The sequence below is a fragment of the Homo sapiens genome, chromosome 8 (genome assembly GCF_000001405.40).
Source record: "Homo sapiens chromosome 8, GRCh38.p14 Primary Assembly".
Taxonomy (NCBI): domain Eukaryota; kingdom Metazoa; phylum Chordata; class Mammalia; order Primates; family Hominidae; genus Homo; species Homo sapiens.
In genome coordinates this window covers 133,452,887-133,467,208 of record NC_000008.11, presented here as the reverse complement: position 1 = coordinate 133,467,208, position 14,322 = coordinate 133,452,887, and the positions used below count along the sequence as shown (strand labels likewise).

Below are 14,322 nucleotides of genomic sequence, written 5' to 3'. Positions count from 1 at the left end.
TAGGGAAACCCCTTAACCTGGGCAAATAAGTAATATTTAGTCACCCTGGAATAAGACTGGCATTCAATCTGCGAGCAGCTGACCCTCGAGCTAGGTCTTTTTTTTTTTTTTTTCGAGTTGGAGTCTCGCTCTGTCACCCAGGCTGAAGTGCAGTGGCACTGTCTTGGCTCACTGCAACCTCCGCCTTCCGGGTTCAAGAGATTCTCCCACTTCAGCCTCCCAAGTAGCTGGGACTACAGGTGGGCACCACCATGCCCGGCTTTTTTGTATTTTTAATAGAGATGGGGTTTCACCATATTGGCCAGGCTGGTCTCAAACTCCTGACTTCGTGATCCACCTGCCTCGGTCTCCCAAAGTGCTGGGATTACAGGTGTGAGCCACCGCACCTGGCCCAGGCTAGGTCTTAAAAGATGAAAACAATTTGCTAGGCAGATCGCAGAAGCCTTGTGCATCCAGCAAACTGCTGATTCTTCAATCTGGCTGGAGCCCAGCAGTGCTGGGGCCGGGGGAACTGAGGGTCAGGCAGGAAAGATGGCAGATGTCCCTACTGCTCTGTCCCCCATCCCTGGCCGGGGCTGGAGAACTGGCATTTCCACCTACTCCTCGCTCTTCTTGTTAAGGCTTGAGCGGGAGCACGCAACCCCTGGGCCCTGGTGTCTGAGCAGGGTGGGAGTAAGACACAGCTAGAAGGCTTCTGCTATTTTTCTCTCTTTCAAGTGGTGACACGTAGGGGGATGGAGGGCCTTTCAGAGAGACAGGAGCCCCCAGGGAGGAGCAGGTTGGAGAAACGCTGATCACATGTGGAGTGGGAGGGGCCTGTGAGTCCAGGTGTGGCTGGATCACCCAAGCGGCTTCAGCAGTGCCTGGCACATGGTAGGTGCTCAGTAAACACTTGCAGAATACATGAATGCTCTCTTTACTTCCTGAGTAACCCTTAGTCTCCTTGAAGGAGGAAGTGGAGGTGTCTGTGTGTGAGCCGCCTCCATCTCCGGGGGCCCAGCAGAGAGAAGGGTGAACAGGAGGGCCCCAGTAAACGACAGCAGGTAGCTCAGGGGCTCTGCTGCCAGGAGGCTGGAGCCACAAAGCCAGGTTGACCACCTTCTGTCCTCCGCCCACAGAGGCTCCAGCGGGAGAAGAAGCCCAATAACTTGAATGACACCATCAAGGAGCTGTTCAGAGTGGTGCCTGGGAATGTGGACCCTATGCTGGAGAAGAGGTCGGTGGGCTGCCGGCGCTGCGCCGTTGTGGGCAACTCGGGCAACCTGAGGGAGTCTTCTTATGGGCCTGAGATAGACAGTCACGACTTTGTCCTCAGGTGAGTGCCAGACCCTCTCCCAAGCCTACCGTGCTGCACCCAGGGGCCCCTTGGAGCTGTAGGAAGCATCTTGGCTCAGGCTCAGGAAGGCAAGGTTCAGTCCTGGGACTGAACTTACCCAGGGACCCCAGGCTCCACACTGCACCCCCTGGGCCTCAGCTTCCCCATCTCTGCATCATTGCAGGATTGGAATGGACTAGAAGGGCCTCTGCGTGCAGAGAGGAAGCCATACACGGGAGGTCCCCCGTTGTTGGGAGCTTGGCACATGGAGGCCTGGGGAGAGGGCAAAATTAATGTGAGGACTCTTATCTTTAAAATTCATCCCCATTTTGTAATCTAGGCCATAATAAAACCACATATTTTATGTAAAATATATTTTCCCCTGTCGCCAAGTGAAACAGACATTTCAGGAAGATGCCCCAAGTCTGTCCTGGGTCTCCTGCCATTCCCACTATACCACTCACAAGTGTTCCACGCTGAGAAGTGCAGGGGTGGGGGCTGGCCATCCCCAGCAGCCTTCTAGAATAGTCTCTCCTGTCTGTGATTCCTGACTTTAGTCCTTAGACCACTTACCTGCCTCTCAGAGCCTCAGTGTACCAGGTGTCCCATGGGTACATCCATGGTAAGGATCAGAGTCAGGTTTCCTTGACTGCAAAAAAAGGGCTGTGGAAATATCCTTTGGATGAGATTGTCTGTGACAGGCGGGCAGTGGTGGTGATGGCTAGACTCCCTTGAGGTCATGAAAGAGAGAAAAATAGCAGAAGCCTTCCAGCTATGTCTTCATTGTCTCTATTTTACAGATGAGGAGAAGGAGGCCCGGGGAAGGCAGGTGACACCCCTGAAGTCACACTGGAGGCTCACTCTCTCGGAGCTCTCAGGCTGTCTGAGAACGGGTGCCCGTGCTACAAGACTCAGCTTTCTCCCCTTCTCTCCCAGGATGAACAAGGCGCCCACGGCAGGGTTTGAAGCTGATGTTGGGACCAAGACCACCCACCATCTGGTGTACCCTGAGAGCTTCCGGGAGCTGGGAGATAATGTCAGCATGATCCTGGTGCCCTTCAAGACCATCGACTTGGAGTGGGTGGTGAGCGCCATCACCACGGGCACCATTTCCCAGTGAGTCCCTCCTGTGGCCCCGCCTCGCTGCTCTGCCCCTTGCAGTGGCACCCTGTCCCCCCACCCTGCCGTGGTCCTGCTGTGCCTCCACCGGGGTGCCTCCCCTCCCCCAGCCTCCTCCGGCACACACAAGCCCAGTTCCCGTGGCCGCCTCCCCGACTACTCCAACTCTTCTCTCCCTATCACTTAACAAACCACAAGCTTTAGTGTCCTCTTGCTAACAATTCCTGAAGGGACCTCCACGCGCCCTGGAGACTCTATGGGAAGGGGCCGCCACTAGAAAGGGTCAGCCCATGTGAGTTCAGCCTCCCTTTATTTCTGAAGTGCAGCCTGACAAATAACAACACCTTATTTTTCAAACTTATGTGAGCGTGGCAGGGTGAGGGTTCCTAAGAAATGAGGAGTGGGGAGTGCAGGTGCAGCCTGGGCCCCTCCCCAGGGCAAGCAGTGCTGAGCAACGCGGCTGTGGCTTCCCTGACAATCAGGAGCTTAGTTTCCTGAGCAGACACCGCACGTGGCACTCGGCACATATTATCTCAATGAATCCTCACAATAGCCATTATCATTAGCTCCTCCCAGTGAGGACTCTGGAGCTCGGCCAAGCACCTTGCCTAGGGTTGAACTCGACACAGAGCCTGTGCTGTCATCTGACCCTTACTGAAGGGAAGTGTTTTGATGTCCAGGTTTCCACAAGCTGTCTGTCTTCTGCCAGGTTTTCTAGGAACAGAGCTAGCCCCCGGATGTGGGTGCAGGAGACTGTGGAGCTGTGCCCTCAGGAGACCGGGAGTGAGGGAGGCAGACCGGGGCGGGGTGGGGTGGGGTGGGACCCAGGTCCAGAAGTGGCTCAGCTGCAGTCTCTCTGGGAGCAGGAATCACACCCGTGGGACCAGCTTTGGCACCTTTGCACTCAGGGTGCATGCAACCGCCCAGGTGAGAAAGGGGCAGCCGCGGGCCTCACCAGCCAGTGCCCCAGCAGCTGGGCAAAGGTGCTCTGGCCCTGAGAGGTGGAGGCACCACGGCCCCACTCCACTCCTTAAGGCTGTGCTTGGAGCAAGTCCTCCTCACCTTTTTGGGGAATGGGGCCAAAACCCAGCAGAATGTCCTCAAATTAGGAAAGGCCGTCCTCTGGTGTCTATTGGGGCTTGCTGTGGGCAGAAACCCGGCTGGGGTAGGGAGGTGGGGGTCCCTGAGGGAAGCTATGGGGGGCAGGAGAGGCTATGCCTGCTTCATTATCTAGCCACTACCCCCAGAGCTGCATGCCCAGGTTCCTGGGCCTGTCCCCTGCCCCATTAACCAGCTTCTCTTTCTCCAACTGCAGCACCTACATCCCGGTTCCTGCAAAGATCAGAGTGAAACAGGATAAGGTGAGTGGAGGCCCCGGCCCCTCTGTTCTAAGTTCAGGCTTCCTCATCTAAGGCTCTGCTCTAAGGTACGGCATTGAGTTGCAAGACAGCCCCCAGATCCCCAGGCCGCTGGAGGTAGCATCTCCCACTTAGCTATCCCCCTGGGGGAAGAGGTCAAACACTGGGAGAGATTCTCAAAGTGGGGTCCCCCGGGCCAGCAGCATCACCCGGGAGTTTGTCACAGATGGACATCCTCAGGCCCATCTCGAACCTACTGAATCAGAAACCCTGGCTGCCCCGCATTCTGGTTTTAACACATTCTCCGGGGACCCCTGTGCTTGCTGCGGTTTGTGAATTACTCTCAAAGCCAGGCTGCACCTCCTGCTTCTCCATCTCTTTCCATGTCTCCATCTTCCCCAGCAGGCCCCTGGCATGGGGCTGGCCAAGAGATGGGCAAAGGGCAGAAGAAGGAGGGAAGTGAGGTACCCACCACACTGGCCTTTTGCATACTCTATCAAACTTAGATAGGCTCGGAGAGGTCAGGAAACTTGCCCAGAGACACACAGCTAGTTCTGGATAAGGCTAGAATTGAAGACTCCCCGTGCCTCCAGCATCTTGCCCTTTGCATTGGGTTGTGCTGCCTCAGGGAAGAAGCCACTTATGTGTCTCTATAGGGTGGGGTTGGTGGAAGGGACAGCCTCCTAGAGATGGTAGGAGGCCACACTGAGAGGTGAATGGTTTACCAGAGACCCACAGAATCCACCCTTCCAGTCCATTCCTAGGGGCTGGAGTTTGGCTTTCTGGACGTGCACGCCCTCTCCTGCCTGAGAATTCCCTTTCGTTGTGCTCAAGGCAGGCTTTGGGTGGTGGAATCAAGGCCAGGCCTGATATCGGCCTCCTCCCAGCTCAGCCACTGCTGGCTGTGTGACATTGGGCAGATCACTTAGCCTCTCTGGGCTTCAGTTTTCTTATCTGCAGCATGAGGAGAGGGAAACCTGGGACATGAGGTCATTTTAAGGATTGGCGATGATTCCAGCCATCATCAGGTGGCTTGGTGCATATGTCTTCACTCACTGACAGTGTCCAGTCCCACCTCACACTGTTCCCTGGAGCCCCCTTCTCCTGAGCAGCCTCCCATCTCACTCCCTGGCCTCCTTGGATTTTTCTGTGTGTCAGCTCAGTGATCCTCCTCACACGGTCCTGTAGGGCCCTCCTCTGCATCATTGCTCTCCATAGCACTTATTAGCTCAGCACCTCTGTCTCTTAGTGATGTGGATGAGTGTCCATCTTTCCTACGAGCATGGAAGCCCACAAGTGCAGGCGTATCTATTAGGCTCATGGCTGTGCCTCCATGGCCACAACAGTATGTACATCTGACAGGCGCTCCATGTCCTTTGCCCCCCAGAACTCACTAAGGGCCGTGTCTTCCCATCCCCGCAGATCCTGATCTACCACCCAGCCTTCATCAAGTATGTCTTTGACAACTGGCTGCAAGGGCACGGGCGATACCCATCTACCGGCATCCTCTCGGTCATCTTCTCAATGCATGTCTGCGATGAGGTATGCCACCCTCCCCCTGCCCACAGGGCTGCCTCGAAGCTCACCGTCCTGTGTTCCCAAGAGAGGCCAGGGAGGGGGAGGGCAGGTAGACCTAGCCTGCCTCTTCCGGAAGCTCGGATTCCCTGTCTCTACGACAGGACTTGCAACATGTGTCTCCCAGGGTGTTTTAGTGAGTAACAGTGCTCTATGAGAAAGTTCTCAGGAGCAATAGTTCTGGCACATTCTGTGTAAGTGCCCAGGACCGTGGTGGTGGAAGCTCGGATCTCGCAGCAGATTCCGGATACAGAAGCGGATTCTCATAGCGAGAGTTGTCTAAGGCCACAGTTCTCAATCCCACTTGCTCCTTAGAATCATCTGTGGGTCTAAGTTCCAGCACCCAAGCCACACCTTGGCCCAATTTTACCAGAATTAATGGGAGCCAGGTACCCAGGGGTTCCACTGTCTACCGAGGTTGAGAACCCGTGATCTCGAGAAGCATGCATTTGCCTTCCCATGTCCTTCGCTGTCCGCTAGGCTGTGTTCGGGTTTCCACTTATGCTCTGAGAGGTTTGCTGCCACCCCAGGAAGAGGGGCAGGAGGGCAGGCCACACAGCCCCCACTTCCTCCCTGATGTTGGGTTCAGGCAGGGCCCTCACGTGTCCCTTCTTGTCTCATTCAGCCCAGCCCCAGCCCCACCCTGCCTGGTGCCTGGTGGGAATCTCAGAAAGGGTCAGAGGCATTGCAAGGCAGGTCCCCAGGCTCAGCCCCACCCTGGTGTTCCCAGGTAGAAACATGGGTGCCCCTGTCATTTCCCCACCCCACCCACCTCCAGCCAGCTGGTCCCAGACCCTTGCTTGAGGTTCTGCTCAAGAGCCCTTTCTCCCATCGTCCCACCGATTTGGCCCTAACGTTCTTGCCCTGGAGCAGGCCCATGTCCATGTTGCATTTCCTGAGAAAGCCACATGTGGCATGGTGCTGTCCCCGTCCCCTCTTTGTCCCCACCCCTCCAATCTATCTTCCACGCTGCAGCCCAGATAGCACGTCCTCTCCCTGGAAGCCCCTCCATGCAATTCCTTCTGGTCATCTTGTACTCATTTTCCAAGACCCAACTCACATGCCACCTCCTCTGAAGAGCTTCCTCTGACCTCTCAGGGCATAGCTCCTCCCTCCTCTGTGCTGCGGGAGCCCTGAATTTAGCCCCATTTCCAACAAGGACCACTCAGTCAGTGACTCCAAGAAGCTATAAGCTCCAAGGCTGCTTCCCCCTGCAGCTGCCCAGCTGGCATCTGATCAAGCTCTGCCTGAACTTCAGTACAGCCAGCAGGGTGCTGGGCTCAGAATAAATGCACAGGGTTTGTCATGTATGTGAAAGGCCTGGTCTAGTGGCCCTGAGGGCGCCTGGACCAGATGAATGTTGGCCACAGAGAAGAAAGGGATCAGCCCTGCCCTCTGCCTCACTGCAATCATGATTCTTGGACCCATTTTCCAGATGAGGAAAGTGAGGCTCAAAGAAGTGACTTCACATGCCCAGGGCACCACGGAGTGGCAGAGCTGGGATTTGGGGCAGTTTGCTTGGCCCCAAAGCCCTGCTCTCCTTCCACTCTCTTCCATTCCACGCCCTCCTTCCTATTCCTTCCCTCTGTAGCTCCTCAATCCTGGGAGAATAGGTTGCACTTGCTGCAGAGGTAAGACCCGGGCCCCTGAGACCACCCAGATGCAGTAATCTCTCAGGGTGCTTCTGGAATTAGACTTGAGTTTTACTTAACTTGCATTTGCTTCACCAAGACTCTGAGAGTTCCAGGAACGTAGAGAAGGGTTTTTAATGAAGGGTTAGTCAGAGTCCTTGGAAATGCTGTTTATGGTCCTGTGGGATTCCAGGAACGCCTACAGGCTTCCTTTCTCAGAGGTGCCACCAGCAGCCCTGCTGTCTGGTTCTCATCTTTGCTTTGCTCCCACAGGTGGACTTGTACGGCTTCGGGGCAGACAGCAAAGGGAACTGGCACCACTACTGGGAGAACAACCCATCCGCGGGGGCTTTTCGCAAGACGGGGGTGCACGATGCAGACTTTGAGTCTAACGTGACGGCCACCTTGGCCTCCATCAATAAAATCCGGATCTTCAAGGGGAGATGACGCAGTGAAGGGCTGAGGATGGACGCACTGTCACACCTCTGCATTTCCAGCCCCAGCATCTTGCTGGAGCCGTTCCATCCCGGAGCTTGGAGGGGCAGCCTCAGGTGTGTGCCTGGGCACCGCTCACAGCCTCTTGCACCCAGCCGTTGGCAGCATCTACTCAGCAAGGTCACTAAGCTCTGCCAGCGTGGCAGAGCATGTCTTGGAACCTGTCTTGAGTGGGGACAACGTCCCCCCACTGCTGCCCTAGAGCTGGGGAGACGCTGGGAAAGGTTCAACCTCCACACACTAAAATCATTTTGGCTCCTGGGGCAAGCTTGGGGAATGAATGTGGAAGATGCCTATATTCTGAGAGACAGGACAGTTTCCCAGGAAGATGGGCAGAGACTTGAGTGGCGATTACCTCCAGCACAGAGACGTGCCAGGCGGTGTTGGCGCTCGGGGCGAGATGCTGCCCTTCTTTGCACGAAGCCTGGCCTCTTGCTTGGCGTGATAACCCTGTCATCTTCCCAAAGCTCATTTATGAGCCACCAGAGGCTCCTACCCCAAAGATTTTCACAGAAACTTGAGGCCAGGTGCCGTGGCTCACACCTGTAATCTGAACACTTTGGGAGGCCGAGGCGGGAGGATCACTTGAGCCCAGGAGTTCAAGACCAGCCTGGGCAACATAGTGAGACTCCTGTCTCTACAAAAATAAAAGATTTAAAAAAATTAGCCAGGCACGGTGGCACACACTTGTAGCCCCAGCTACTAGGGAGGCTGAGGAGGGAGGATCTCTTGTGCCTAGGAGTTCGAGGCTGCAGTGGGCTGTGATCACACCACTGCACTCCAGCCTGGGCAACAGAGTGAGACCCTGTCTCTGAAAAAAAAAAAAAAAGAAAAGAAAAAAAACCCCAAACTTGGCACCGTGTTTCTGACTCCTGCAGATGCCTCTTCCCAAGCAGTTGTTCCTTTGAGTAGTCAGTCTCATGGTTCTAATCGTGGCGAGAGCGGATCTGACCACTTCCATGTGCCTTTGTATTTGGGAAAGAAAAGCATGCATTGGCTGAAATGAAACAAAAGCCCTTACTTGGGAAAAGGGACCCCCACCAGCGGCCCTGCTTGCTCCGTAGCTGGGAACATCTTTTCTGGTTTCCTGAGCCAGCACCTGAATTGCAACGAAGCTCTGAGGATACTCAACACCACCCAGCAGTGCGTCAGAATGGAACGTACATTCTCATTCTCAGACTGTTCAATATGGTGCCCGTAACCTCCAAAGCCACACAGGAGGCTGCCAGCAGCATTTTCCCCAAGGGCCTGAGCTCAGGGTCAAGTCCCTGCTGGCCATCTTGGGGCTGTCACTGGGGGTCTGGGTCAAGGACATCCCAGGAATGGTAACTGCCACATACCTCATCTTCTTACTCCCCAGCTACTCTCTTTTCCTCATTAGCCTTCCTGATTATTTATTGATTTCTTTTTTTTATTCAACTGACATTGTTTGCACCCTGGCTCTGTTGGTGGTCCTGGTGTTTTAATGAAGCTTGCCTCACCCAGTAGCTGGGAAATTAGGTGGGGGTGCTTAAGGGAGGTTTGTAGGAGTCCTCGGACGTGGGATATTGGGGGTATCTAGGGCTTGGATGGTTTGTGGAATGTCCTCAGCATCCTCCCGTCCCAACCCAACCTTCCTTCTTCCTCATTGTGGACTTGGATTTATTCTCAGGCTAGGAGTCTCCAAAACTCCGTGAAACCTTATTGCTGCTGGGTGTGGAGTGGAGAGTGACAGGAATGTGGGGGACGGTGATTGTTGGCTCCAGTTACTAATGTTTAAGCAGAAAAACCACTTTCTTGTTGAAAATATCCCTGAAAAGGTCGCTGCTGCTTTGAGGAGGCGTGACTTTTTCCTGGTGGAGTGTGACGGAGGCATGGGGCCTGTGCTCCCAGGCTCGGGGGAGCCCCCTCTGCACACGGGGAGGGAGGAACTTGGGGACATCAGTCATGGGTCACAGGTGGCTTCAGGCCATTCACAAGAGTCCCCGGAAGTTGCGTGCCAAGTTTGGTTTTTTCCCTGAATCTCTGCATATGAGCATTTTTCTGGAGAAAGGACCATAGCTTTTATTAGATTCTCAAAGGTTCAGAATGGGGAATGTGTTAAACAAACCGAAAACCTGTTTCAGCTTTAAAATCCTCCAAAACTTTAAAGACTTTTCTTTTTTCTGAGAAAGGCTGGTAAATCACTGAGTCATCATTCAGAACATACAGCCTCGAAGGGCAGAGCTCACACCCATATATGACGTTAAGAGCTCAACAAATGTTTGTTGAGTGACTGAGTGACCCCAGGGGCAGACTCCAGATCATCAGACACTGATACAGAGAGCGATGCTATCTCCTCAACTCTCCCTCTTCTCCTAAAAGCTGAGTCTATATAGGGATGACAGGCTCAGGCTGAGCAGTCGACTTCTCTGGGTTTTGCTGTGTAAGAATAGGTCCCTCAACATGAAGATGTGTCTGCGTCTGAGCCAGATGCTGCCTGGGTCGGTTGCCTGGCCTCCGTCTGGTCTCCCTCCCTCCTACTAGGGTGGTCAAGCTGTGAGATCTCTTCCAGCCTCCAAATCCAGCTTTCCCATTTTACTGATGAGAAAATCAAGGCCACATTGCAGCTGGGTGGGGAGTGGAGCGTGACAGGCACGGGAGAGGACAGCGATTGTTGACTCTAGTTCCTGATGTTTAATCAGAAAAACCACTTTTCCTGTAGAGCACATTTCCTAAAAGGCTGCTGCTGTGTAGGGAGGTGTGGCCTTTTCCTGGTGCAGTGTGAAGGAGGGAAGTGACGGGCAGTCGTGAACTGTCTGGGACAGATAGCACAAGTCAGAGTTTGAGCAAAACTAGGGTGTTACCGGCGCTATGTTGAAATTGTCTGGAGGCGGGCTTTCCCAGCGAGTCTCCATTCAGCATCTGGAAAAAGTGTAACCAGAATGGAGGTGTCTGACTCTCCTGTGCTCTCTCAGCGCCGAGCTCTAGCTGCAGGCTGCCTGGGTGGCCTTCTCACACCCTCCCGTGCAGGAGACTGCATTTCTCTTTCCCACAGCCCAGCAGATAGCTCATTGGCTTAGCAATGGGCACTTAACAGAATCCAGTTGTTGCAGCCAGAATTAAATGCACCAGTCTGGCTTAAACCAACTGGAACTCATCCCTGGGGTGAAGGTGGCTGGGAATTAGACAAGAGTGTGTGTTAGCCAAAAGGCACATGCATGCTGTCAGCAGGAGAATGAGGAGCACTGGTTCTGGGCAGGCAGTGGCAGGGGCTCCCTCAGGCCCCTGATTCCCAGCCCACAGCTCTTTCTACTCTGCAGACAGAGTTCCTTGGAGACTGGCCCTGCATTCAGGCAGGGAGCAGAGGGGTCCCTGCCTGCAGCACCCAGAGCTGAACCTGAAGCTACAAAGATGGGCTGATGAGGTGGCCCATGAGGTGTCAGCAACATCCCAACCCCCTGGGTCTCCCCAGTGAGTCAGGGCACTGATTTGCTATAGCTGGAGCTACATGCACCTCTCCTCCCCTCAGCCACCTTTTAGGGGAGAAAGGAGGGCAGATTTGTAACCTCTGGTTCTCTGCAGGGATCCTGGGCTGGAAGAAAGTTCATAAATGGATGAATGCCTTTTAAAACTCCAGCTTTTCCAAGCATCATTCACCAAAGCATTTGGTTAGGCTTAGAGAGAAAAGCTGGATATGAGAAAATAGAATGTAAAATAGGAGGGAAAAAAAAAAAGAAGGTGGAGAGGGCAGTTAAGATCTGGGTGATTCTTTAGGGAAACGGCTGGTTGAGAGGCTTTGATGGAATCCCATTCTCTGCTGTGGCCAGAAGGTGGTGCTAGAGGCCAGTCCCACTTGGATGTGACCCTGGCCTCTGCCAGGATTCAAACCACAAAGAACATTTGGAACTGGGATGTTTGCTTTGAAGCAGCCCGAAAACAAGTGAAAGGAAACCAAGATAACTCTCTCTCCCTCCGCTGGCAAGGATCAAAAATACCTTGTGCAGGGAAGCCCGAGCCTCGAGGGGCCACTGCCCAGCTAAAGATGACTGGACACCAGCCATGCACCATCAGGAACCAGCACCTGTCCTCACCCCTGAGAAGAGCCCCGGGGGTATCATTATATCCATCGCAGACATCTGGTTTGCAGCAAATGTGGCTACACGCCATCAGGATTATCCTGCCCTGTGGACTGGGCTAGCTAGTTTTGAGATAGAGTCAACCTCCCCATTTTTGTTTGTCATGAAAACACCAGCTCCTGCACCCCTGGGGTGCTACCTGACACCTGTGCAAAGAAAAGGAGGAAAACTTAGAAGAAAAGGCAGAGACAGGCAAGACAGCATCTCACAGCTTGTCAGGATCAGGGCATTACCGACTATTTTTTCTTACCAAAAGAGCACTGAATTTCCTAGGGGAAGGTGAGCCACCTTTACACCTCCTGTCCTCCCTCCCAGCCCGTCAAGCGATCCCATCACCCAGCCTCATCACTCAGCTTCTTCCTAGTACAAAACTGCCATCGGTTGTACGTCCTGAGCTGTGGGACGTCAGCTTTAACCCTAGCCTGTCTCAGGGCCTCGCCCTCCAGCCCCCCGCCCCTTAGGGTGATCGTGGGTTTCTTCCCTTCCTCCTGCACAATCGCTTCCCTTCACTGAATTCCCTTCAAAGCCAAAGTTTCTTGAGCACTTTTTCTTGTGTGCAGTCTTGTGTGTTTGGGTGTTGGTGTTTTTAAATTTGCTTTCTATTCCCCCCTGCCTCTCTCCATGTCGTTACGCAGCTGAGCACTGGTTGGGATGCATTCGAATGACTTCAGCAAGATCCTGCTTTCCTCAGCCCCCGCTCTGTTTTATTTATTGTTTAATATTTCCAATGATCCAAATCAAAGTGAATAAACAAAGAGCTATTTTATTGTTTGGGTGTGTTTGTTGCTTTTCTACAAGGGTCATGCATTTGCGCCTCCTTCAACACTCCAACTCAGAGGGCCTCCTGGGTTGGCGTCGCCACTACCGAATGGCCAGAATTCAGGATACAGAGGAGAGCCCCAGCGTAGGCCTTGGAGAGGCCTCTTCTCAAGCCCAGGAGTCCCATTACCTGCCGTGTGACTGGCGAGTCACCTAAGTTCTCTGAACCTCAGCTGCGTGTCTCATGTATTAAATGGGCGCGACAACACTGGCCTTCAGAGGGGATGTGGGAGTAAAAACAAAAGCATCTCCAGAGGCCCAGTAGACATGCACCACCTGCTTGAACGTTTGCTGAGTGAATTCACCTTGGCCAGGGCCTGATTGGGCTGGGCTAGTGTCTGTCCTCCCCCGACAGAGACGGGCACACCCAGGGATGGACAAGAGTTTGGTCCAAAGTTGGCACTAATCTCCCTTTAAAAAAAAAAAAAAACAGATTCAGAAACCCAATGTTGCGAGCCTGTAAGATAAAATTGGTATACACAGTAACCAGGCCTCCCAGTTTGTATGGCACACAATACCTCCATGGGCGTGATCTTTAACTCAGAACAGCCCTGCGGGCTGCTGCATGGCTGAGGGCGGAGGTGGGTTCACAGCCAGGCGCCTCTCTCCAGTCCCGGGCCTCCTGTCTGCCCTGCCGCCTCCCTGTCACTCTGTGCTTAGCAAAGACGTTGAGTTATTTGAGACACTGTCTATGGGGACCTTCTGAGGGCAGCCCCCAGAGGAAGGATGGGGCAGAGATTCACACAGGGGCTCTGGAGCCAGGCCGCCCTGGGTCCTACCTATTAGCTGTGTGAGTCCGAGCAAGTTACTTAACCTCGCTGCCTAATCTCCTGATGGATAAGTTTGGAATGATATAATACCTCTATATAAATACACATAGAGGATAAAATGAGTTAACACACGCAAAAGGCTTACAACAACAAATGTTAGTTATTAGTACATCAGACACGGGAGAGGAGAAGGAGCTGTGTGCAAGACTGAAATGAACAGCAAGGCTCTGTCGGGGAGCCCGGTCTGTTTCCCTCCCCCCATGCCTCTGTCCTGCTCCTGCCCCCTGCCACGGGCCTTCATGTTGCCTGTGTATCTTCTTTAAGTTGTTTCTTCAACTCTAGAGTTCCCTTTCCTCCTTGCCCTATCACTTCTCTGTCCTCTCCCTACAGGGCCCTGCCGTCATCTGGCGCTAACACGCGCTCCCACCCAGCCATCCGTTCTATAGGAGACACAGCCTCCCCCAAATTCGCTCCTGGTTGGCCTCACATCACAGCTGCAATGTGGACCAGCGGCCACGAGGTGGTGCTATGCTGCAGTCGGCCCCGCCGCCCGCTTTTCCAGGCCAGCTCTGTAGGGCTCCAGCGCCTGGCCGCCCTGTCCTGCACATCGCACCCTGGTCTCAGGCTAGAGCCCATGGCCAGGGAAAGAAATTGTCAGGGCCCTCCTTGGACAGCCCTGAGGGCCTAAAGGCATTCCTCCAAGACACCCCGGCACCTGCCTGGAAGCTGGGACCAGAGCCAAGGCCCATCTGCTTCTGCACCCCCCCGACCCCTCCCCAAAATGCAGATCCTCCCAGGATTTGGCCTGGGAACGCTGGGAAGTCCTAGGAATAACCGCGAGGCTGCTCCAAACACATGCTTGGCCGTCAACAAAAAGCGAAGGGACTAAAAAGAAGTTCCTAAGTGGAACTTTCCGATTTCCTCTTCGCTTTCCCAGGATATTTAATGTGCACAGGGATTGAAAGGAGAGTGTGGCGACCCTGTTGGGTCATTCTCTACATTCAGCCATGGCTGGTGTTTCCCACCCATGCCCCCTCGTTTTTCTTTTCTTTCTTTTCTTTTGTCGATGGCCCACAGTGACCAGGGGTGACCCTCAGAGGCTGCCACTTTGCCCCTGACTGTGAGTGAGCACCTTCCAGGGGC

General features: G+C 54.0%; 1 protein-coding gene across 7 annotated transcripts in view, besides 2 other annotated features; it reads left to right on the top strand.

Annotated features, from left to right (window-relative positions):
* The window catches only part of ST3GAL1 (ST3 beta-galactoside alpha-2,3-sialyltransferase 1), a 117,040-nt gene extending 104,679 nt beyond the window's left edge, over positions 1-12,361 (top strand). For all 7 annotated transcript variants that reach the window (XM_017013736.3, NM_173344.3, NM_003033.4 and 4 more), the window contains 5 exons: positions 1,119-1,315; positions 2,252-2,431; positions 3,750-3,795; positions 5,215-5,334; positions 7,272-12,361. In XM_017013736.3, the coding sequence (XP_016869225.1) occupies positions 1,119-1,315; positions 2,252-2,431; positions 3,750-3,795; positions 5,215-5,334; positions 7,272-7,445 (717 nt within the window). In that variant the 3' untranslated portion in view covers positions 7,446-12,361. The remainder of the gene's footprint in view (positions 1-1,118; positions 1,316-2,251; positions 2,432-3,749; positions 3,796-5,214; positions 5,335-7,271) is intronic.
* Positions 13,241-13,741: an enhancer, noted in NCBI's record as "H3K4me1 hESC enhancer chr8:134465711-134466211 (GRCh37/hg19 assembly coordinates)". NCBI's record gives its function as "activates a minimal SCP1, AML or CMV promoter by ChIP-STARR-seq in naive H9 embryonic stem cells {active_cell/tissue: H9 hESC(naive)}" and the evidence as "EXISTENCE:reporter gene assay evidence [ECO:0000049][PMID:30033119]".
* Positions 13,742-14,242: an enhancer, noted in NCBI's record as "H3K4me1 hESC enhancer chr8:134465210-134465710 (GRCh37/hg19 assembly coordinates)". NCBI's record gives its function as "activates a minimal SCP1, AML or CMV promoter by ChIP-STARR-seq in naive H9 embryonic stem cells {active_cell/tissue: H9 hESC(naive)}" and the evidence as "EXISTENCE:reporter gene assay evidence [ECO:0000049][PMID:30033119]".